The sequence below is a fragment of the Homo sapiens genome, chromosome 12 (genome assembly GCF_000001405.40).
Source record: "Homo sapiens chromosome 12, GRCh38.p14 Primary Assembly".
Taxonomy (NCBI): domain Eukaryota; kingdom Metazoa; phylum Chordata; class Mammalia; order Primates; family Hominidae; genus Homo; species Homo sapiens.
In genome coordinates this window covers 116,775,558-116,801,291 of record NC_000012.12, presented here as the reverse complement: position 1 = coordinate 116,801,291, position 25,734 = coordinate 116,775,558, and the positions used below count along the sequence as shown (strand labels likewise).

Below are 25,734 nucleotides of genomic sequence, written 5' to 3'. Positions count from 1 at the left end.
ATTGCTAATGATTAGTATCTCACTGGCTTTCTCTTCTGTTCCAGTAAAACCTGACGGTGAGAAAAGGGACATCTTCAATAACAGCTGCAGGCAGACAGGGCACCCCCTGGGCTCAGCACCCCCTGGCTTTGCTGCTCACTGCTGGGTGGCATTCCCTTGCTGGCCCTCAGTTTCCTCATCTGTGGAATGGGAACAATAACAGCACCTCCCTTCTCAGAGTGTTGCTGAGAAGACCAAATGAAATCATGCAAATAAAGCACTTCACACAGTGGATAAATACACAAACAAGAAGAGAATCCTAGACGTATCAGCTGTTATTCTTATTGTCACCCAGTCAAGCTGAGTTGAGTCCTACTTTGTCACCTTCCAGCAGTGACCCTTCACAAACTGGTTAGCCTCCCTGAGCCTCTGTTTTATCTGTTAAATGGTTTTTATTTTATTTTATTTTATTTTATTTTATTTTATTTTATTTTATTTTAAGATGGAGTCTTGCTCTGTCACCTGGGCTGGAGTGCAACGGCACAATCTCAGCTCACTGCAACCTCCACCTCCCAGGCTCAAGCAATTCTCTTGCCTCAGCCCCCTGAGTAGCTGGGATTACAGGCACGCACCACAGTGCCAGCTAATTTTTTGCATTTTTAAACCATTTTTTTTTTTTGAGACAGAGTCTTGCTCTGTCACCCAAGCTGGAGGGCAGTGGCATTATCTCGGCTCACTGCAACCTCCCGCCTCTTGGGTTCAAGCAATTCTCCTGCCTCAGCCACCCGAGTAGCTGGGATTACAGGCAACCACCACCATGCCCGGCTGATTTTTTATATTTATAGTAGAGAAAAGTTTCACCATGTTGGCCAGGCTGGACTTGAACCCGTGACCTCAGGTGATCTGCCCGCTTCAGCCTTCCAAAGTGCTGGGATTACAGGTGTAAGCCACTGTGCCCGGCCAATTTTTTGTATTTTTAGTAGAGACAGAGCTTCACCATGTTGGTCAGGCTGGTCTCGAACTCCTGACCTCAAATGATCTGCCCGCCCTGGCCTCCCAATGTGCAGGGATTACAGGCATGAGCCACCATGCCCGGCTGAGACTAGGTGATTTGTAAAGAAAAGAGGTTTATCTTGGCTCATGGTTCTGCAGACTGTAGGGGGAGCATGGCACCTGCATATGCTCGGCCTCTGGTGAAGCTTCAGGAAGCTTTTACTCATGGCAGAAGGTGAAGGGGGAGCAGGTGTGTCACATGTTGAGAGAGCAAGCAAAAGAGATGCCAGGCTCTTTTAAACAGTCAGATCGTGCATGAACTAATATAGCAATAACTCACTCATCACCTTGGGGAGGGTACCACGCCATTCACATGAGATTCACCCCTGTGACCCAAACAACTCCTACTAAGCGCCACCTCCAACAATGGGGAATCACTTTTTACCATGAGATTTGGAGGGGACAAACATCCAAACTGTATCACCACACTACCCCTAATTATCCAGGCCATCATTTTCATCACTGGACTGTAAGTTCCAAGGGACAGGTACATATTTTTAGTAGACACGAGGTGACCTCAGGTGATCTGCCCACATCAGCCTCCCATGGTGAAACCCCGTCTCTACCAAAAAAAGGGATTACAGGCATGAGCCATCGTGCCCAGCTGAGGAATCCCTTTAAAAAATCCTTGATAAATCCAAACAACTTCCATAATACACACAACCGCTGTTAAAAAAAAACACAGCTAACTTATAAATACTGCATACTAAGAGATGTGCAATTGCATTTTCACAACAACCCTCTGAGATAGTGCGGTGGGCACCCAGCAAAATTTCCCATCTTAATGCCCAGTACTACGAAGGTAATGAAATATCACATCTAGATCATATTACAGGCTACACGATAAAAGGGATTTTGGAGATATAATTGAGGTTACTAATCAGTTACCCTTTAGTTGGTTAGCAGGCTGTCCCAGTGAGTCTAATTTAATCACCTAAGCCCTTTAAAAGCAGAGTTTTCTTGGGCTTGGGGAAAAGGAAGTCAGAGAAATGTCAGACACAAGAATAGCACTCTGCTTTTGGCTTGAAGATGGTGGCAACTGTGTACAAGGACTGGAGCGTGGCTTCTAGGAGCTGAGAGTGACCTGGATGGCAGCCAGCAAGGATGGAGGACCTCAAGTCCTACGATCACACAGAACTGATTCTGCCAACAACCTTAATGAGCCTGGAAGTAGACTTGTCTCCAGAACCTCCAGATAAGAGCCCAGCCTGGCCAACACCTTGTTTTTGGCCTTGTGAGACCCTTTGTAGAAAACTCAATCAAGCTGACCTGGACTGCTGACCTACAGAACTGTGAACTCATAAATGAGTGTTTTCTAAGCCACTAAGTCAGTGGTCATTTGTTAGGCAGTAAATGAAAACTAACACATGTAGGTACTGTTATGATTGGACCAGGCACAGTGGCTCATGTCTGTAATCAGCACTTGGAGGCGGAGGCAGGTAGATCGCTTGAGCTTAGGAGTTCGAGCCCAGCCTGGGCAACATGGTGAAACCCCGTCTCTACCAAAAAAAGAAATATATGAAAAATTAGCTGGGCATGGTGGCACACATCTGTGGTCCCAGATTCAGGAGGCTGAGGCGGGAGAATCACTTCAGCCTGGGAGGCTGAGGTTGCAGTGAGCTGAGATCACGCCACTGCACTCCAACCTGGGTGACAGAGACTCTGTCTCAAAAATATAAAAAATAAAAATAAAAAAAACCTAATGCAGATAGGTACTATTATGATCCCATTTTACAGATGAGAAAATGAATGCGAGAGATGCAAACTACCTTGCTAAGGTCCCAAAGCTGGTAAATGGCAGAGGGTTTCTCAAACAGGATTTGAACACAGGCAATCTGGCTCCAGGGTCCATGCATTTAACCACTGTGCAGTGTTTTCTCTATGTATTTATCCGAACAATCTCTAAGATAGATGGATAATAAAAGCAACGTGGGAGCTGTATATAGAATGTTACTATTCTATTTGAATATATAAAGGTGAGTAAAAAGAACACGCACATATATTTGCTGCTGCTGCTGCTTCTTTTTTTTTTTTGAGACAGAGTCTCGTTCTGTTTCCCAGGCCTCTCTCTCCTTGGCTTGTAGGTGGCTATTTTCTCTGTGTCCTCACGTGATCTTTCCTCTGTGCCTGTCAGTGTTCCAAATCTCCTTTACAAGGACACCAGTCCTATTGGACCAGGGCCCGTCCTAGTGAGGTAGCAGGCGGGACTTGACTCCAGAGATGGGGCTCAGATATGGGGCCAAGTTGAGAGCTAGCTAGAACAGGGACAGGGTGGAGGCAGCTTTCCATAAGCCATGCCCAACAGTATGCCATGTTAGTTTACCATTGCCATGGCAAAACCCAGGAGTTACCACCGCTTTCCATGACCATCACCCAGTGACCCAAAAGTGACTACCCCTTCCCTGGAAATTTCTGCATAAACTGCCCCTTAATCTACATGTAATTAAAAGTAGGTATAAATATGGCTGCAAAATTGCCCTGAGGTGCTACTCTCTGCCTATGGGGCAGCCCTGCTCTGCAGGAGTAGTCACGGTGCTGTAACACTGCCTGAGCTGTAACGCCTCTTCAATAAAGCTACCTTCTTCTACCCTACCACTGGCTCACCCTTGAATTCTCTTGGGCAAAGCCAAGAACCCTCACAGTCTAAGCCCCTCTTTGGGGCTTGCCTGCCTTGCATCACTAGTGACCTCACTCTAACTTAATAACTTTTTTTTTTTTTTTGAGATAGACAGGCTGGAGTGCAGTGGCATCATCTCAGCTGCAACCTCCACCTCCCGGGTTCAAGTGAGTCTCCTGCCTCAGTCTCCCAAGTACTGGGATTACAGGCACACGCCACCAAACCTGGCTAATTTTTGTATTTTTAGTAGAGACAGGGTTTCACCATGTTGGCTAGGCTGGTCTTGAACTTCTGACCTCAAGTGATCCACCTGCCTCAGCCTCCCAAAGTGCTGGGATTACAGGAATGACCCACAGAGCCTGGCCATCTTTATAGACCCTATTTCCAAATATAGCCAAATTCTGAGGTCCTGGGGTTTGGACTCCAACACACATATTTTGGGGGGCACAGTTCAGTCCATAACATTCGGGGAGCACAGTTCAATCCATAACATTTGGGGAGCTGACCCAGTTCCATAAGGCACACATTTAACCCAGAGTTCCTCAACTTCAGCACTGCTGACATTTAGGGCTGGATAACTCTGGGTTGCAGTAGAGGGCTGTCCTGTGCACTGTAGAATATTCAGCAGCACCCCTGGTCTCTGTCCACTAAATACCAGTAGCACACCCCCTCCAATGGTGCCAACTAAAAATGATCCAGAAATTACCACAGCCCCCTAGTTGGGAATCACTACTTAACCTTCTTCCAGCCCCTGTGTGTGGGTAGTTGGAACCAGTGTGGCTGGCTCTTCTCGAAGTTCTTATTCCAGGATGGGGCACTGTGTCTTTACACACAGAATGTTATGCAGCCAAAACCATAGCTGAGGCTTAGAATACTCAGACCTGCCCCAGCATAGACAGATGTCTGATTGGGAGAAGGGAAGGCGGGGAGAGGGGAAGGTATGACCTCCAGGAGCGAAGATGCCTCCAACAATGGGAAACCACTTTGAGAGCAAAAGTGCTGGGTTCAGGGCCTGGAAAATGTAGAGATTTTAATGGCACTGAAAGCCCCATGAATCCTCTTGGTTCTCATGTCAGAGAAGACCACCTTTCTTATTTTTGTCCACCTTCCCTCCCCGTCCCTGTGCTTAGAGAAAAACCAATAGGATTGAGAGCCTATGGAATCTCACCCTACTGGAACCTCTTGTCCAGGGATTTGGCTGAGCCTACTGAGCTAGAACTTAGTTAAGATGATTCAGGATATGGAAGGGCTTCCTCCTCCCTGTCCTCATGGAAAAGATGGCAAGTTGGTCAAATGCTGTGTTATTCAGAGAAATCAGTTCAGCTAAGCCTTTCCTTGTTTCTGATACAACCAGTCCTAGTAACCACCCAGCAATGAGATACCTGACCTTGCACCTTATGATAACCTTAAAGAGACAGAAATGACCACTGGAGAGGCTGGGCATGGTGGCTCACACCTGTAATCCCAGCACTTTGGGAAGCTGAGGCAGGTGGATCACTTGAGGTCGGGAGTTCAAGACTACCCTGGCCAAAATGGTGAAAACCCTTCTCTACTAAAAATACAAAAGTTAGCTGGGTGTGGTGGTGGGCGCCTGTAATATCAGCTACTTGGGAGGCTGAGGCAGGAGAATCACTTGAACCCGGGAGGCAGAGGTTTCAGTGAGCCGAGATTGCACCACTGCACTCCAGCCTGGGTGACAGAGTGAGACTCTGTCTCAAAAAGAAAAAGAAAAAGAAATGACCACTGGAGAGATGAAGAAGCTGGGAGCCTCAAAAGAGCAGCCAAGGTTACCTGGGGAATAAGTCAGGAAGCCAGGATTTGACCCCAGTTTCGTTGACTCCAGCTGTGTTCTTTCTACTCTGCAGTGCTGTCTCCCTGAACAGGGGACTTGTAGAGAGTTCTTAGGGAAGGGCCCGCTTTTATGTTTCTCCATCTGCTACCTGTACTTTTGGGAAGCTGAATTAAACTTTGTCCTAAGAACATTCTAGAACAGCGTTTTCTGCATGGATGGAAATATTCTACCTCTACATTGTCTACCCTAGTAGCCGTGAGCCATTTCTGCGTTTGAGCCCTTGAAACGTGGTTGGTGCAACTGAGGAACTCAATTTTAAACATAATTAATTTAAATTTAGAGAGCCACATGTGGCCTGTAGCTACTATATTAGACAGCGCAGTTCCCGGATCTTGGGCTAAGGGGAATTCATTTTCTTTCTTCTTTCTTTTTTTTTTTTTCTGGAGATGGAGTCTCACTCTGCCGCCCAGGCTGGAGTGCAGTGGTGTGACCTCGGCTCACTGCAACCTCTGCCTCCTGGGTTCAAGCGATTCTTCTGACTCAGCCTCTGGAGTAGCTGGGATTACAGGCACATGCCACCACACCCGGCTAATTTTTGTATTTTTATGGTAGAGATAGGGTTTTGCCATGTTGGCCAGGCTGGTGTCGAACTCCTGACCCCAGGTGATCCACCTGTCTTGGCCTCCCAAAGTGCTGGGATTACAGGCATGAGCCACCGGGCCCGGCCTTCATTTTCATAAAGAGGCAATGTGGACACATCAAATGTTTAATAATTAGTATTAGTATTATAGAAGTAGGAGTATATGATATATTTCTATGTATGTTTCTGGGACAGAGGATTTGCCTTCTTACCAAGGTTTGGGCTAAGTTAATATAAAACCAAGTTTCATTCACAGAGAATCAAGTAAGTGGACAAAGGTTACGATGATGTCTTACTCACTTTTATATTCTCAGGATCTAGCATTGCCCCTGTAAGCAAACAGGTCCTGAATAACATCAGTGAAATTGGTGAGACAGGGGCAGTGGCCGAGCCGAACTCCATGCGGTGGGAAATAAGCAGGCCTGGTTTTGTTTTTTTAGCTACTATATTAGACAGCATAGCTCTGGGATCTTGGGCTAAGAGTAATTCATTTCTTTCTTTCTTTCCTCCCTTCCCTTCCCTCCCTCCCTCCCTCCCTTCCTTCCTCCCTTCCTTCCTTCCTTCTCCCCTCCCCTCCCCTTCTCTTCCCTTTCTTTCCTTTCTTTTGTTTTTTGAGACAAAGTCTCACTCTGTCACCCAGGCTGGAGTGCAGTGGCACAATCTCGGCTCACTGCAGCCTCCCCCTCCCGGGTTCAAGCAATCCTCCCACCTCAGCCTCCCGCGTAGCTGGGATTGCAGGTGTGCACCACCACACCTGACTAATTTTTGTGTTTTTAGTAGAGACAGGATTTTGCCACATTGGCTAGGCTAGTCTCGAACTCCTGACCTCAAGGGATCCGCCTGCCTTGGCCTCCCAAAGTGCTGGGATTACAAACGTGAACCACTATGCCCAGCCCTGGCCTGGTTTTAAACCTTCTAATAGATCATTAATATCAGGCTTTTTTTTGAGACAGGATCTCATTCTGTTGCTCAGGCTGAAGTACAGTGGCCCAGTCATTGCTCACTGCAGCCTCAACCTGCTTGGCTCAAGCAATCTTCCCACCTCAGCCTCCTAAATAGCTGGGACTGCAGGTGCATGACACTATGCTTGGATACGTTTTTAGTTTTTTATAGAGACAGGGTCTCACTTTGTTGCCAGGCTGGTCTCGAACTCCTAGGCTCAAGTGATCCTCCCACCTCACACTCTCAAAGTGCTGGGATTACAGGCGTGAGCCACAGCACCCAGAGAAACTCTGAATTCAGCCCACAGTGGTACATTCCCTGTGAGTCAAGAGCAACCTAGGGGTCTTTGCTCACATGAGTTCACATTCTAGTGGGGAAGGACAGAAAATAAATAAAGACAAACAATCTGATTATTTCAGATACTGGTATATGCTAGGAAAGATATAAAATGATGGTGGAATACTGCAGGTTGGAGAAAAGCACTCTCAGCAGGGTGGTTAGGAAGGACTTTCCAGAGGTGGTGACATTGGAGTCGAGATCCAAGTGATGGGAAGGAGACAGCCATGGAAACATCCAGGAAAAAACTGCTCCCAGCAGAGGGAACAGCAAGAACAAAAGCCTGAGAAGGAAGGCGCTGGGTGCTTTGGAGGCACCAAGAAGTCACCAGCATGGCTGGTCCTGAGTGAGCAAGAGACAGAGTCATGGGTGATGATGTCGGAGAGGTGGAGTAGGAGCCAGGCCAGGCAAATGCAACACATATGAGCTATATAGAAGTTTTCTGGACCAGGCACAGTGGCTCACGCCTGTAATCCCAGCACTCTGGGAGGCTGAGGTGGGAGGAGCACTTGAGCCCAGGAGTTCGAGACCAGCCTGGGGCAAGACAGTGAGACCCTGTCTCTACAAAAATTTTAAAAATTAGCTGGGCATGGTGGCATGTGGGACACTGAGGTGGGAGGGTCACTGGAGTCCAGGAGGTCAAGGTTGTGGTAAGCTGAGATCACGCCACTGCACTCCAGCCTGGACAATGAAACCCTGCCTCAAAAAAAAAAAAAAAAAAAGCTATCTGGATATGTAATGACAAGTGGCAGCTCAAGACACCTGGCCAGTGTGATGGTTTTGGGGCTGAGGTTGAAGATCAGTCAATGCCACCTTTAACCCGTCTTGGCTGGCCAGGAAGCCCAGTTCTCCTAGAAGGCCCAGGTATGAGGATTCCTGACAGACCCTCCAGCGTTGCAAGGCACGTGGGAATTGGCATTGGCAGCGGGATGATTAAGAAAGGCAGAAAATGGAGAGATTCCCAAAGTCCCTAGACAAGGTGGCTCACCCAACCTCACACGTCAGGGCCATCAACCGACCCAAATAGCAAAAGCACTTTCAATATAATAATTATAATATTAAAACCAACCCACCTTCTCAGTGGATGGTGCGGAGGCCCAGCAAAGAGCATCTGTGCCGTGAGCCATTAGGGGTCTCTGACAAATGTGTCTTCCCCCCGCTGCAGATGAAAACCCATCCTTTTCTTCTCCACAGACAAGGATTGATGAGGATTCGGGAGAGCACTCAGACAGGCAAGGGAAGGCTGTGAACCTTTTCCAAGCCTGCAATTTATCTTGGGGAAGACTATTCACATCACTTTCTACAGGCTAGATTACGCGCTGACCTGGCACATTAATCTCACCGAATAAAATAATCATCATCAAAAAAAGGGAGCTGGACAGTTGCCAGGGAGGCATTAATAACTGTTGCCCACAGCTCGGAGGCGCAAGAAAGGGGTGCTGGGTCCATCCCCGCCTCCTCGGCCCTAGCAGTGTCCGTTTCAAGGAGAAGGAAGTGAGGTAGCTCTGGCCTGGACTTGGGGGAATTTTATGTGAATGGTTTAGGAGGACTTTTCTCCAAAATTAATTCTCAGAAATTTTCTAGGCTGGGCGCAGTGGCTCATACCTGTAATCCCAGCACTTTGGGAGGCCGAGGTGGGCAGATCACCTGAGGTCAGGAGTTCAAGACCAGCCTGGCCAACATGGTGAAACCCCGTCTCTACTAAAAATACAAAAATTAGCTGGGCGTGGTGGTGCACAGCTGTAATCCCAGCTACTCAGGAGGCTGAGTCAGGAGAATTGCTTGAACCTGGGAGGTGGAGGTTGCTGTGAGCCAAAATTGTGCCACTGAACTCCAGCTTGAGCAACAGAGACTCTGTCTCAAAAAACAAAAAAGAAAATTTTCCAAAGGAATTCAGGGAACATACACGGGAAGGACCGCGGTCTAATAATTCAGGGTAGCAGTTCTGGAGCAGGAGGACTGCCTGAGTTCAAATCTCCACATAGCCACTTGTGAGCTATGTGGCTTTGGGCTACTTTCTTAGCCTCTGGCTGTTTTCATTTTCTTCCGCTGGGCATGTGAAATGGTGCAGGCACTGTGGGAAGGTTTGACAGTTCCTCAAAAGGTTCAACATAGGATTACAGCATGATCCAGAATTCTCTGCCTATGTATTTACCACAAAAATTATGTTCAAACAGATACTTGTCTGCGAAAGCTCACAGCAGCACTATTCACAATAGCCAAAAAGCAAAAACAGCCTAGATGTCCATTGACAGAGGAATGGCTAAACAAATTGTAGTCTATCCACACAATGGAATATTATTTAGCCATAAGAAGGAATGAAAGCCGGGCATGGTGGCTCATGCCTGTAATTCCAGCACTTTGGGAGGCCGAGGTGGGCAGATCACCTGAGGTCAGGAGTCTCAGACCAGGCTGGCCTACATGGCGAAACCCCATCTCTCTAAAATACAAACATTAGCCAGGCCTGGTGGCGCACTCCTGTAATCCCAGCTACTCTTGGGGGCTGAGGCAGGAGAATTGCTTGAACCCGGGAGGCAGAGGTTGCAGTGAGCCAAGATCATGATGCTCCACTAAAGCCTGGGCAACACGGTGAGACTCCGTCTCAAAAAAGAAAAAGAAGAAATGAAGTGCTGATACATGCTACAACATGGATGAACCTCGAAAACATAGCACGGCATGAGAGAAGCCAGACACAAAAGGCCACATAGGGTATTATTCCACTTACACAAAATGTCCAGCATAGGCAAATCCATAGAGATGAAAAGCAGATTGGCAGTTGCCAGGAGCTTGTGGGAAGCGGGAATGGAATGTGACTGCTTAGTGGGGACAAGGTTTCCTTCTGGTGTGATGAGAATGTCTTGGAACTAGACAGAGGTGGTGGTTGTACAACACTGTGAATGTACTAAACGCCACTGAATGGCATACTCTAAAATGATTAATGGTTTATTTTTATTGTTTTATTTTATTTTTTTCAGACAGGGTCTCCCTCTGTTGCCTAGGCTGGAGTGCAGTGCTGCGATCAGGGTTCACTGCAGCAGCCTTAACCTTATTAGGCTTAAGTGATCCTCCCACTTCAGCCTCCCAAGTAGCTGGGACTACAGGTGAGTGCCACCATGCTCGGCTAAATCTTTGTATTTTGGTGGAGACAGGGTTTCACCATGTTGCCCAAGCTGGTATTGAACTCCTGGGCTCAAGAGATCCTCCCAACTTGGCCTCCCAAAGTGCTGGGATAACAGGCATGAGCCATTGAGCCCAGCCTAATGGTTAATTTTATGTTACGTGAATTGTATCTCAATAAGAAAACAAAAAATCAAGACAACAGCATTTCCCTCATGAGGCTGACATCAGATGGAAATGAATTAGAGCCCTGCCTGCCCATGTGAAAGGCTGGCCCCACACTGGCTGCTCCCGCTGCTATAAGTTTGTTACTGCAAGGTTTGCGCTCTTTTGCAAGTTATTTAACTCAGTTTCCTCTCTGTGAAAAGAGATATCAACAGCATCTACCCTCCTGGGACTGTTAAGATTAAATGAGACAATGTCTTTAAGAGGATATAAACTCACGAATACAGGGGTTTCTATTTACTGGTTCACTGATGTATCCTCAGAGTTTAGAACAGAGTGGGGCATGTAGCTGGCATTCAGTAAATATTTCTTGAACAAATGGCATTGCTTAACACATTGCCTCATAATAAATGCTCAGCAATATTTAGCCATGTTTATTATTATAAGTGTGGCTGCCAGATTTCTTTCAAAGGCCCTATATGGTCTTTTCTAGCACAGAGAAGTGAGTGCTACTTTGCTTATAGGTTTTTGTGTCTTCATGAAAGAAGTGTTTTGACACCTACCAAATATAAGAGGTTTGAGCTGAGCTGAAAATGAAATCCAAGCTCTTGCTGTTGCTGTAAGAGGAGGTAGTGAGTTATTACAACTGATTAGACTATCCATCCATCCATCCATCCATCCATCCATCCACCCACCCATCCACCATCCATCCATCCACTCTCCTCCCATCCATCCATCTACCATCCATCCACCCACCACTCTCCTACCATTTACCCATCCACCCATCTATCCATCTACTCACTCTCCTCCCATTTACCCATCCACCCATCCACTCTCCTTCCATTTACCCATCCACTCTCCTTCCATTTACCCATCCATCCATCCACTCTCCTCCCATTTACCCATCCACCCATCCATCCATCCATCTACTCTTCTCCCATTTATCCATCCACCCATCCATCCCTCTACTCTCCTCCCATTTATCCATCCATCCATCCATCCATCCATCCATCCACTCTCCTCCCATCCATCCATCTACCATCCATCCACCCACCACTCTCCTACCATTTACCCATCCACTCATCTATCCATCTACTCACTCTCCTCCCATTTACCCATCCACCCATCCACTCTCCTCCCATTTACCCATCCACCCATCCACTCTCCTCCCATTTACCCATCCACCCATCCATCCATCCATCCATCCATCTACCATCCATCCACCCACCACTCTCCTACCATTTACTCATCCACTCATCTATCCATCTACTCACTCTCCTCCCATTTACCCATCCACCCATCCACTCTCTTTCCATTTACCCATCCATCCATCCACTCTCCTCCCATTTACCCATCCACCCACCCATCCATCCATCCATCTACTCTTCTCCCATTTACCCATCCACCCATCCATCTACTCTCCTCCCATTTACCCATCTACCATCCATCCACCCACCACTCTCCTACCATTTACCCATCCACCCATCTATCCATCTACTCACTCTCCTCTCATTTACCCATCCACCCATCCACTCTCCTTCCATCTACCCATCCATCCATCCACTCTCCTCCCATTTACCCATCCACCCATCCATCCATCCATCTACTCTCCTCCCATTTACCCATCCACCCATCCATCCATCTACTCTCCTCTCATTTATCTACCCATCCATCCATCCATCCATCCATCCATCCCTCTCCTCCCATTTATCTATCCATCCATCCATCCACCATCCATCCATCACTCTCCTCCCATTTACCCATCCACCTACCCATTCATCCATCCACTCTCCTCCCATTTATCCATCCATCCATCCATCCATCTATCCATCCATCCACCAAACTTCCCAGATGATCATCTAATTCATCTATCTACCTACCTATATATCCATTCACCCATCCATCTACCCACTCAAACACACATGTATACATACTTACATACATACAATGAACACTTCTGGATACACAGCAGATACTGATGATCCATCAACAAACAAACTGGATGCATTCATTTCCTGCTGTCACAGAGGTTACAATCAAGCAGAGAAGGCAGACATTTAAACAAACAATTACAGTCAGAGTGGTGGGTGCCAGAATAGGGGAAGTATAGGGTGCTGTAGGAGTCCTCGTGGGAGCACCACACCTAGCCTGAAGAGGCAGGGTAGGTTTCTAAGAGGCAGTGATCTGCAGAAAGAACAGGAGTTATCAAGACATGAGAAAGAGGGAAGGCTCTTTGAGGCAGATGAATCAGTAGGTGCAGGTGGGAGACAGGGCAGCAAGCAGCCCACTCTAGAAGATTGTAGGTTAGTTTCTCAATGTCTCAGTGCCTCAATTTTCTCATCTGGAAAATGGGATAAGAACAGCATCTACCACATAGGGATGCTGCAGAATGGGGCGAGTTAATGAGTATAAAGGAGCAAAAGAGGCTGGGCGCAGTGGCTCACGCCTGTAATCCCAGCACTTTGGGAGGCCAAAGCAGGCGGATCACCTGAGGTTGGGAGTTTGAGGCCAGCCTGACCAACATGGAGAAACACCATCTCTACTAAAAATATAAAATTAGCTGGGTGTGGTGGCGCATGCCTGTAATCCCAGCTTCTCGGGAGGCTGAGGCAGGAGAATTGCTTGAACCCGGGAGGCAGAGGTTGTGGTGAGCCGAGATTGCGCCATTGCACTCCAGCCTGGGCAACAAGAGCGACACTCCATCTCAAAACAAACAAACAAAAAAGAAGCAAAAGAGGTAGGGTCTGTCTGTCTGGAGCACAAAAAACAGAGTAAGAGTAAGGGAGTGAAAGAGGGAGAGGGATGAGTAAGTAAGATGCCAGACAGGGAGGTGGGACCCATGATGATGGTCCACAAAGCCTCACCTGCCTCCTCTCTAGGTGATAACTCTTCATACACACATTATACACATTATATCTTTTTTTTTTTTTTTCTTTTAGAGACAACATGTCCCTCTATTGCCCAGGCTGAGTGTAGTGACATGATCATGGCTCACTGCAACCTCAACTCCTGGGCTCAATGATCCTCCCACTTCAGCCTCTCAATTGGCTGGGACTACAGGTGCGTTCCACCATGCCCAGCTAATTGATTTTTATTTTTATTTTTATTATAAAGATGGCATCTTGCTGTGTTGCCCAGGCTAGTCTCAAACTCTTGGCCTCAAGCAACCTTCTCACTTTGGCCTCCCAAAACAGGGATTACAGGTGTGAGCCACTGTGCCCTGTCAAGTCTTTTTACCTTTACAGTATCTAAAGAACGCTACTGTTAACATCTCGATTTTCTGCAGGAGGAAAATGCTCACATTAAGCGACTTGCTCAAGGCACCATGGCTGGAAAATTGCAGGTTAGGAATGGCCTAGGCCCTCTAGCACCTGGCCGATCTGGCAGATGATCTCCTGGTCCTCAGAAGTAGCCACGGGCTTGGGAGTTGGAAGAGTTGGATTTTCATTTTGATTCTATAACTGAGCAACTGGGTGTTTTTTGGACAAACTATCTCACCTCTCTTTCAGCCTCAGTGTAGTAAAGGAAATAACGGCCACTCAAGGATACCAGGAAGCTGTGAATGTGACATTATTTAGAAAATAATCATGTCTTTGCAGATGTGATTAAGGATATCGGCATGGGGAGGTTACCCTGCCTTATCCAGCTGGGCCCAAAATACCGTTACATGTGTCCTTATAAGAGAGAGGCAGAGAGAGGCATCATTCACAGAAGAGGAGAAGACCATGTGGCCATGGGGGCAGAGACTGGAGTGACACAGCCACAAGCCAAAGACACCAGGAGCCACCAGAAGCCCGAAGAGGCAAGGATCAGATTCTCTCCTTGAGCCTCCGGAGGCAGTGCAGCCCCGCTGACACCTTGATTTTGGCTCAGTGACACTGATTTTGGATTTCTGGCTTCCAGAACTGTGAGAGAACAAATTTCTGTTATTTCAAGCCACCAAGTTTGTGGTATTTCGTTACTGCAACCACAGGAAACTAATAGTTTTTCATCCAGAAAGAGGTGACAGTGAATTGTATCTTACAGGGGTATTGAGAGCCTTGGAAGAGCTGGACTATGAGAAAGAATCTAGACAGAACCCAGAAGGCGCCAGGTGATGAGTAACCTCAAATGCCTTCCTTATCTTGTCCCAAACCCACTCCTTTGAGGTAGAGCTGGAGTCTTGAAGTTGTAAAGACCTGTGCTGTCATCCTGACCCCACCACCGAGCAGCTGCATGACTGTAAGAACTACCCGATCTCGGCCGGGCGCGGTGGCTCATGCCTGTAATCCCAGCACTTTGGGAGGCCGAGGTGGGTGGATCACCTGAAGTCAGGAGTTCGAGACCAGCCTGGCCAATATGGTCAAACTAAAAATACAAAAATTACCCAGGCGTGGTGGCACGTGTCTATAATCCCAGCTACTTGGGAGGCTGAGGCAGGAGAATACCTTGAACCTGGGAGGTGGAGGTTGCAGTGAGCAGAAGTCACGCCATTGCACTCCAGCCTGGGGGACAAAAGTGAAACTCTGTCTCAAAAAAAAAAAAAAAAGAACTACCTGATCTCTTAACCTCCATCGCCTCATCCATTGATAAGAGTAATCAGCACCTATGTCAGAAGAATACTGAGAGGCTGGCTCTATTGCCGAGGCTGGAGTGCAGTGGCGCGGTCTCAGCTCACTGCAACCTCTGCCTCCTGGGCTCAAGCAATCTTCCCACCTCAACCTCCTGAGTAGCTGGGACTACAGTCATGTACACCACATCAGGCCAATTTTTTTTTGTATTTTTTGTAGAGACAGGGTTTCACCATGCTGCCCAGGCTTGTCTCGAACTCATGAACTCGAGCGATCCACCCATCTTGGCCTCCCAAAGTGCTGGGATTACAGGTGTGAGCCACAATGCCTGGCTTTCCTGTTTTATTTTCGTCTGCTGAAAATAAACCAGAAGGCACAGGGCAGGATTGAGCTAACTTCAGTTTCTCTGCCATTTCACTTACTCACCGTTTACAGAGCTCTGCCCAGTGCCCAGTGCTGGGCCGGGTCTTACAGATACACTGGTGGGCCAAACAGACTTTTCAAATAGTGAGGAGGCAGGAATGAATGTAATAATTACACAAGTACTTTGGAAGGCTGAAACAGGAAAATCACTTGAGCCCAGGAGTTCAAGACTAACCTGGGCAACAAAGTGAGACTCCATCCCCAAGAAGAATTAAAAAATTAGCCAGGCTTGGTGGTGCACTGAGCAGTCCCAGCTACTCAGGAGGCTGAGCTGGGAGGATCACTTGAGCCCGGGAGGTTGAGGCTGCAGTGAACTGTGATTGCGCCTCTGTACTCCAGCCTGGGAAGCAGAGCAAGACCTTGTCTCAAACAAAACAAAACAAACAAACAACCCCCCCCCGCCACACACACACACACACACACACACAGAAGTAGGTAATCACAAATGCTATGAAAGAACTGGACTTAGGGGGATCTAGAAGAGACTTCTGAACTGACGCCTCAAGGATCCATTAGAGAAGGAGCATCTCTGGGGGTCTGAAGGGCATGTGCAAGAGGCCGAGACAGGAGGGAGGAGGGCAGAGGGAAGAAACAGAGGGGGAACCAAGGCGTGTCAGGGCGTGATGCTGGTGGCAGGGGCAGAGGCAGGCTGGGTAGGCTTTGTAGCCTCACCTGTGGAGCTTGGTCTTTGTCCTGAGCACAAGGGCAGCCCCTGGAGGGTTTAAATTGGGTGAAGGTGAGGGGAAGTGATAGGAGAGGACAATCAGATTAATTTTCTTTTAGAGTCCTGCTCCGCTGGCAGGGAAAAGAATGAAGTGGAGGGGGTTGGAGTGGACACACAGAGGGAGACTACTTTGGTCTCATGGTGGCGAGCACTAGGGTGGTGACGGTGGAGATATAGAAGGAGGATGGGCTCCCACGTCACTGGGGAGGCAAAATGAACAGAACTTGGTTGCTGACTGGAAGAAGCAAGGAAGAAAGAGGAAGAGTTAGAGGTCCTTTCCAGGTTATTGATGTGAACAGTGGGGTGGAGGGAGGTGCTACACTCTGAGATCTAGAACAATGAGAAGAAGCCCAGGCTTTGGGGAAGATCCTGAGTTCCTTCTTGAAAATGGGTCTACTATGCCTCATTGCTTTGCCTGGTTCAACCCAGGCCCCAGATGAAAGAGCCTCCCTAGGCAGCCATGTTTTTTCGTACCAGCTGACATTGCCTCCTCCTTGGCAACAGTTGATTGGATAAGGACTAGGCACATGACCATGTGCAGCCCATTCATTGGCCAGCTGCTGACCTATGAAATAGCTGGTACACAAAATGACCGGGGCCAATCAGACCTTCTCCCAAGAGCTGAACTGGGGAATTGTAAGAGGACACGACACGTGCGGCGGATGCTGCCTACCACAGACCGTGAGCTGCAGTGAGAGCCAGGGAGACTGCTAGGAAGCCTTGGTCTAGCTTTGTACTCTCATCTCTGAGTCTACTTACAGAAGTGAATCTGTACAATGCCCCGTGCAGTAACTGGACAGCATCTCTGTTCTGACTACAGCAGACAGATTAAGAGCTCAGACTCAGGGGCCTGACTGCCTGGTGGTCTGACTTTGCTCTTCAATTTCTAGCTGTGTGGCCTTGGACAAGTCACTGAACCTCTCTGTGCTGTGCTGTAGCTTCTACATCTGTGAAAATGGGATGGTGGTAATAACAGGACCCTGTTCACAGGGATGTGGTCATGACTCAATGAGTTTGTACATGTAAAGTACTTGGGACAGTGGCCAGTACACGGTTAAGCGGCCTCTAAGAGTTTGCTATTACAGTTGTTATTCCTGGTCCTAACTAGAACAGGCAGAAAAATGATCCGTTGTTGACAATCTGTTCTCAAGTGTCACTTAGCACTCTGTGGGCTCCGCCTGTCTTGCTCCTCTGTCTGACCTGGCTGGCTGTGGAGAGCCAACAAGATTCCAGCAGCCAACAGGTGCTAAGGAAAGGTGGAAGACATTGCCACTTCTCAGCACTGGCTTCAGTCCAGGCTCCTTCCCATCCTGGGTTCCTGGGGTCAGAGCTTGGCTGTAGCTGGGCACAGGGAGGGGTGTTATTGCTCAAGTGAGGATGATGTGCCTTGTGCCTGCAGGTGGCTGCAACCTGTGTCGCCTTGCAGGAGCTGGTCCACCTTGACGAGGCAGCTGATGGCTGCAGCCTATTCCTGGTCAACATATGTGGTCCCCAGGAAGCCGACAGTATAGCTCTCAGACCTTCACTGGCCAGACCTGTCATTATCTAACAAGGGAGTGAGGCCTGAGCAGATGTTTCAAGGAGGAGGCCAACCAGAAGCATCCCCCTAGGGTTGCCAGCCCAAGAACACGAAGCCAGTGTAGGGGCACACAAAGCTATGGAAATAATCACCTGGCTAGGATTCTCAGAGGTCAGACAGCTGGGAGAAACCCTTGGGTTTGGCATAAGGCAGACCTGAGTTCAAATCCTCATTCTGACAAGTGTCTATGAGGGGATCTCTGAGCCTCAATGTCTTTGTCTGTAAAATGGGTATAAGAGTGTGTATCTCCTACCGGGTGGTAGCAGCAGTAGGAGGAGGAAAGATGGGCATAGTAGTGATTTAAAAGCATCACCCTGGTAGCCAACATGTATTGAGCACTTATGATGAGCCAGGCCAGCCCTGAATATTCATAAACTCTGTTCTCGCCATGAGGGAAGTCTCATGGTAGAGTGAGTAGGGTCCTGGCATACTAAAATCAGGTAACTGAAGAGTTTAATACCTGTGCTATTTACAAAGGTGCGGGCAGGGTTTGGGGAAACCAACAAGGAGTGGTCTAGTCTAGAAGGGTACGAGGAGGGCACAGTTACCAGACCTGGATAGAAAGCTGTCTGGAGGAGCTGCCTGTGATAGGAACTGTGTGTTCAGACTTATTTTCGGCATGTGAGAAAGGGGGTGGTAGGAATAACAGTGCCCGCTTCCCAGGGATGTTGTAGAGATTCAGTGGGTTACTGAGTGTGAAGTACAAGGAATAGCATTGACCCATGGTAACCTGGGAGGGAGGAAATCAGGTGTGGCAGGGAATGGAATGCTGCGCCCACCCAAAAATGTCCACGTCTTTTAGAAAATTATTTTATTTTTATTTACATTTTTTATTTTATTTTTTTTAAGAGGCAGAGTCTCACTCTGTTGCCCAGGTTGGAGTACAGTGGCACGATCATGGCTCACTGAAGCCTGGAACTCCTGGCCTCAAGCAATCCTCCCATCTTGGGCTCCCAAATAGTTGGGACTGCAGGCATGTGTCACCACACTCAGCTAATTTTTTAAATTTTTAGTAGAGAGTGTCTCGCCAGCAGGCTTATCTTGCCCAAGCTGGTCTCAAAGTCCTGGCCTCAAGCAATCTTCCTGCCTCAGCCTCCCAAAGTGCTGGGATTACAGGTTTGAGCCATTGAGCCACCACACACAGCCCTATTTTTTTTTAATTAAAAAAAAATATAGAATGCTTCATGAATTTGTGTGTCATCCTTGCACAGGGGCCATGCTAATCTCTGTATCGTTCCAGTTTTAGTATATGTGCTGCTGAAGTGGGCATGATGTCCACATTTTTTTTTTTTTTTGGAGACGGAGTCTCGCTCTGTCGCCCAAGCTGGAGTGCAGTGGTGCGATCTTGGCTCACTGCAACCTCCGCCTCCCGGGTTTAAGCAATTCTCCTGCGTCAGCCTCCCGAGTAAGTAGGACTACAGGCGCATGCTGCCACGCCCAGCTAATTTTTTTGTATTTTTAGTAGAGACGGGGTTTCACCGTGTAGCCCAGGCTGGTTTTGAACTGCTGAGCTCAGGCAGTCCACCCGCCTCTTCCTCCCAAAGTGCTAGGATTACAGGCGTGAGCCACCGTGCCCAGCCGATGTCCACACCTTAATGCCTGGAACCTGTGAATGTTACCTTCTGTGGCAAAAGAGACTTTGCTGATGTGATTAAGGATGGGAGATGAGCCTAGATTATTCGGGTGGGGCCAGTGTCATCACAGGGTCCTTATAAGAGGAAGGCAGGAGGGCGAGAATCAGGAGATGCGACAATGAAGGCAGAGGTGTAGGGGGAGGGAGAGGGAGAGAGGAGAGAACGCTCAACCTGCCATCACTGACTCGGAAGACGGAGGAAGAACACAGCCCTGCCAAAACTTCTGTTTTCACCGCAGTAAAACCCACTTTGGACTCCTAACCTCCAGAACGATAAGATAATAAATTAATGTTGCTTTAAACCACTAAGTTTGTAGCAATTTGTCACAGCAGCCACAGGAGACTAACATGCTGGGGGAATAAATACCTCTGCCTCTCTCTCCTCTTGGGCTTCCCATCAGCTGAACCCAACTGGAAGCTGATGGGCACAGGAGCCCATTGATATAGTTCGCGCAGGTCAGCCCCCTGGGCAGAGAGCAGGGTGAGAAAGATGGAGGGTGTAGCTGAAAGGGCCAGAGGAAGTCATTTAGCTGGAAAACTATTACCCCATTTTACAGATGAGGGCACTGAGGCTAAGTAATTCATCCAAGATTGCACAGCTAGTCAGTGCAGAGCTGGCAGTCATGAAGATTAGACAACACAGGTATTGTGAATCACTCATTGAGCAATTACTATGTGCAGAGCGTGGAGCAAAGCACTCTGTATTTCCCACAACCAATAGTTCTTACAAAGTGAGTACTTTGGAGGAAGGCGCTATTGTTATTTTCAGTTGACAGATGAGGAAACTAGGTTTTTGTCACCTGCCCAAAGTCACACAGCTGGAGAGGCGTATGGCTGGGATCTGAACATAGATGTGTCTGATGCCAAAGTCCATGGGCATAGCCATCAGGCCATGCTGCTTTCCAGTGTCAAGTGCGTGGTGCCGACCTGGAACCCTGCATGAGCTCAATGGGCAAAAGGTCCTCGTCATTCATGGTCTTGGGGAGGGTCAATGGGAGGCATCTTAGGACTTCCCTAGGCCTGTTGTTTTCCCTCTGGCCTTTCTTCTCCACATCTCTTTTTTTTTTTTTTGTCTTTATGCCATTTTGCGTTTCCTGGCACTGCCTTTGGGTACCAGAGCTGCGGCTTCATCTAAGAAAACCTCAACAGCCTAGGATTTTGGCTCAACTAGAAACCAGGGGTCCTGGGGCTGAAGACTGGTACTAGACTGTGGCCTGTTAGGAACCAGGTCGCACAGCAGGAGGTGAGCAGTGGGTGAGCAAGCATTACCGCCTGAGCTCCGCCTCCCATCAGATCAGCTGCGGCAGTAGATTCTCCTAGGAGTGGGAACCGTATTGTGAACTGCACATGTGAGGGATGATCTAGGTTGTATGCTCCCTATGAGAATCCAATGCCTGATGATCTGAAGTGGAACAGTTTCATTCCGAAACCATCCCCACCCTGATCTGTGGAAAAACTGTCTTCCATGAAACCGGTTCCTGGTGCCAAAAAGGTTGGGGACCACCATGTTAAGTCACACAGTGGAGAAAGGGAGTGGACATGAAAGGTGAGAGGACCAAAACAGGCCCAAAGATTGGGGTTATGGGTTGGGTTAGTTACCACTCAAGATCGATGGTCACTTCCAAGCTGCTCTGCTGCCAAGCAATGCCTGGGACATGTCTCAGCTTTCTGAACTTGAAAGATGGCTGTTTTTACAGAATGGAAAGCAGGAGACTTCAAACACTCTTTAGTCCACCTGCTTCGGTCCAGATTCCCTTTGGGTCACCTTACAGAGCCACTGGCAATCACTATGTCCTACAGGTGATACCTTGTCTGAGCCCTGCTCAGTCCTCTGAACTCCAATGTCTATTCCCCAAGGCCTCTTCATTCCAACACCTGCCTGGAGGCCTTTCTCTATGATACACTGCAAAGCATCATTGCCCTCACTCCCCACTGCAGGGTCTGTGGCAGACATCACTAATCAATCATGGAGCTCTTTCCTTCTGAGCCTCAGTCCCCTCTATAAAATGAACTCCTGGAAGCCACGAAGAGTCAAAACCTATTAGGGCTCTCCTTCCCTGGGAGAAGCAGGTCCCGGGGCATGCTAACATGCTTTTTTTTCCTCTCTCAGGTGAAATGTGGATGAAAATTGCATCAAGGGTAGCTGTGAACAACCTAACTTAGGAAATGCACTTGGAAAGTAGAGGTGTGACAAAGTGGTGATGACAAAGAGCCATGCTCAGCTTTGTGGAATTAGAAGAGGTGGGTGACAGGAGCTATGAGCTCAGGCTCTGTTTATTTTATATGCTGACATCAGTCCACCCTCATCCATTCTTTCCTCCTCAGAAGGCACCCTGAATCCTCTGCATGATCCATGTGACTGGGGCTACCTTGTGGCCGCAGCCAGTGCCTACCTTGGACTTGACAGCCAGGATGATCTTGGGCAGGGCCACGATGAGGCACTTGAGGGCGATGGTGATGTACTTCAGAACAAAGTCTGCGATCCCCACAATCCATAGCAGGTCAAAGAAGTCCAGCATCTCCAGGTTGGGCTTCAGGAATATGAGGCTGGGGGGAGGATTGAGAGAGTCAGAAGGTTCCCTTAGGGCCAGGCCTCAGCAGCTCCTTCTACTCACTCAGGAGCCTTCTAAGTATCACCTGTAGAAAGAGCGCTGAACTGGGAGTCAGACGTCTGTGTCCTTTTCCTGAATCTGCTACTAACCTGCTGTGTGACCTCACGTGGATCTTTTAACCTCTCTGAGTCTTAGTTCCCTTGAGAGTTAAATGGCCATATTGGCCTGGAGTTTCATTAAGGTCCTTGTTTTAGTCCTTTTTTTGTGTTGCTATAACAGAATACCTTAGGCTGGGTAACTTATAGAGGAAAGAGGTGGTTTTGTTTGTTTGTTTGTTTTTGAGATGGAGTCTTGCTCCGTCTCCCAGGCTGGAGTGCAGTGGCATGATCTCGGCTCACTGCAACCTCCACCTCCCGGGTTCAAGTGATTTTCCCGCCTCAGCTTCCCAAGTAGCTGGATTACAGGCACCTGCCAACTCAGCTGGCTAATTTTTTGTATTTTTAGTAGAGACAGGGTTTCGCCATGTTGGCGAGGCTGGTCTCAAACTCCTGACCTCAAGTGATCCACCCGCCTCAGCCTTCCAAAGTGCTGGGATACAGGCGTAAGCCACTGCTGTCGGCCAGAGGAAAGAGTTTTATTTAGCCCAGGGTTCTACAGGCTGGAAAGTTCAAGGGCATGGCACTAGCTTCTGGTGAGGCCTATTTTTCTGGTGCATCATAACATGAAGGAGAAGGCCAAAGGGGAAGCAGACAAAACCCCAGGGGCGTCTTGGCTTTATAAGAACCCACCCTCACAGGAACTAATCCATTCCCATGTGACTAATCCAGTTTTACCAGAGCAAGAACTCACTGTCATGAGAACGACACCAAACCACTCATGGAGGATCCATACCCATGACCCAAACACCTTCTGCTAGGCCCCACCTCCCAACATCATTGGGGATCAAATTTCAACATGAGTTTTGCTGGGGACAAACCCAACCATAACAGTCCCCTCTAGTTTTGTGGGTCCACAACAGGCTTTACGAGAGGAGGCAAAAGGAAGGAAGGAAGAAAGGAGGGAAGAAAAGAAAGGGGGAGGAAGAGAGGGAGGAAAGGCAGGGAGGAAGGAAATTAGGAAGGCAGGCCAATACTATGAAGGAGCGGGGGAAGCTGATGTGCCGGGAACTGTGCTAAGCTCTTTGCTCACTGTGTCTCACTAATCCTCACGACTGTCCTGTGCAGTGAGTGTTGCTTATCTCCAGTTTATAAATAAGGCACTGAGGCTTGGAGAGGTGGTCAGCTGCCCAAAGTCACACTACATAAGCATAAAGGCGTTGGTATCGGACAGACTTGAACTTGAATCCAGGCTTCTCCATTTATTGGACTCTGGGCAAATAAAGTTATCTCTGGAAGCCTCAGGGTTCTCATGAATAAAATGGGAATTGTTCCCTTCCTCATGGTGTTATTGGCAGGATTTGATGAGATAATGGACAGATTACAGACCCTGCGGTGCAGCAGTGATGATGACACTAACATTATGAGGCAGGTACTTTTATCCACCCCATTTTGCAGATGAGGAAACTGAGGCACAGAAAGGCAAATATGTGGAAGGTCCTAAAAATATTAAGGGACAGAGGTGGCCTGGAACCCAGACATCCTGGCTGCAGTTACAGTTCTCCATCCATACTCTACAGCTGAGTAGTGTAAACCTATCCATGACCAGATATGTGAAACCTCATGTTCAGTTTCTGTACTTAACTCACTGGAGACAGACAACAGGTGGCTCTCAAACTGGCACTGGTGAAGAGACAACACTTTGAGTGGCACTGCTCTCCAACATCCCCCAAGAGGGGGATGTTCTTTGTAATAGTGGCTAAAATATCCTGGCTTTAGATGTCACGCAGGCCCTGCTCTGTATATTTTATATGTCTTAACTCATGTTGTCTTCCCAAAGACTCTATGAAGTAGGTACTGTGAATATCCCATTTTGAGGCTGGGCACGGTGGCTCACGACTGTAATCCCAGCACTTTGGGAGGCAGAGGCAGGCAGATCACTTGAGGTCAGGAGTTTGAGACCGGCCCGGCCAACATGGTGAAACCCTGTCTCTACTAAAAATACAAAAATTAGCTGGGCATGGTGGTGCATGCCTGTAGTCTTAGCGACTCGGAAGGCTGAGGCAGGAGAATCACTTGAACCTAGGAGGCAGAGGTTGCAGTGAGCCGAGATCGTGCCACTGTACTCCAGCATGGGTGACAGAGTGAGACTCCTTCTCAAAAAAAAAAAAAAAAAAATCCCATTTTGAGCTGAGGACACTGGGGCACTAAGAGGTGGAGTCACCTTCCTGCAGCATCTCGGGTTGAATGTGGAGCTTAGATTGGAACCAGTACTCAACCCACGCTGGTCCCTCTCCTTTCTTCCCACTGGATTACAGGCTCTGGGCAAGGGCCAGACTGAATCCCATCTGTCTCCTCCAAAGCAGGGAGAAGTACACTCAGCATAGAATGGATGCTTTCTATATGCTTTGGAAATACTCAGCTGGGCTGGCAGAAAAAGGTGCAAAATGAGGCCTCTATTCTAGCATCCTAAGAACGGATTGGTCTGGGTTATTTTGAGTAGGGCAAAATTACTGACAAGTCACTCACAACACCTTCAGTGACCCTCCCACATCCCTGCCCTGTCTCCATGGAATTCCTCACCTGCAAGTTGGAGTGGTCATCCAGGTCATAATACAGGGAGAGGTTTGCGGCCCTGAGCTCCCGTCTTTAGCTCTGCTCTTGCCCTTCCTGGGATATCCCAGGCTGGTTGGTGGATTTCCACACTCTGCCAAATCTCCAGTGCTTCCATGATCATGATCAAATGAAGATCTGACTTATCCTTTCCATTTTATCTTGAAGATCTGCCTTATCCTTTCCATTTTATCTTGGACACAAGTTGGTGTTCAATCCATCTATCTGGGTTTTATTCTATCATCTTAGTGAGTTTTTTTGTTTGTTTGTTTTTGCTTTTGGTTGGGGGGTGGGTGCCAAAGTGTTTTTCTATGGATTCATCATCAAGTCCAATCATTTCTAAATTACTCTACAAACTTTAATGGACTGATATATTTTATTGTCAGTTTTGCTCCTCCTTAGGCACCTCCACCAATAATTACGAGTTTTTTTGTTTTTTTTTTGAGAGTCTCGCTCTGTTGCCCAGGCTGGAGTGCAGTGTCACAACCTTGGCTCACTGCAACCTCTGTCTCCTGGCTTCAAGCAATTCTTCTGCCTCAGCCTCCCGAGTAGCTGGGATTACAGATGCCTACCACCACGCCAGGCTAATTTTTATATTTTTAATAGAGACAGGGTTTCGCCATGTTGGCCAGGCTGGTCTCAGACTCCTGGCCTCAAGTGATCCACCCACCTTGGCCTCCCAAAGTGTTGGGAATACAGGCGTGAGCCACTGTGCCCAGCCTAATTATGATATTTAATCGTAAAAGAATCATATTAATTGTGATATATGTCCAATGTTTTATTGTTTACCCAGTACTTTAATGAGTCTTATGACATGTGGCCTTCCTAACTAGCCTGCAGGCAGATAAGGGAAGAATGTGGACTTGGTTCCAATTTTGCAAATCAGGAAACTAGGGAAGGCTCAGAGAGGTGACATGACTTGCC

At 48.0% G+C, this 25,734-nt stretch overlaps 1 protein-coding gene and 1 pseudogene across 6 annotated transcripts in view; both read right to left on the bottom strand.

The window, feature by feature from the left end:
• RNFT2 (ring finger protein, transmembrane 2) overlaps positions 1-25,734 on the bottom strand; it is a 115,317-nt gene that overhangs the window by 52,340 nt on the left and 37,243 nt on the right. For all 6 annotated transcript variants that reach the window (NM_001382266.1, NM_001109903.2, XM_047429745.1 and 3 more), the window contains exon 7: positions 21,944-22,097. In NM_001382266.1, the coding sequence (NP_001369195.1) occupies positions 21,944-22,097 (154 nt within the window). The remainder of the gene's footprint in view (positions 1-21,943; positions 22,098-25,734) is intronic.
• Positions 19,084-19,187, bottom strand: RNU6-558P (RNA, U6 small nuclear 558, pseudogene; annotated as a pseudogene).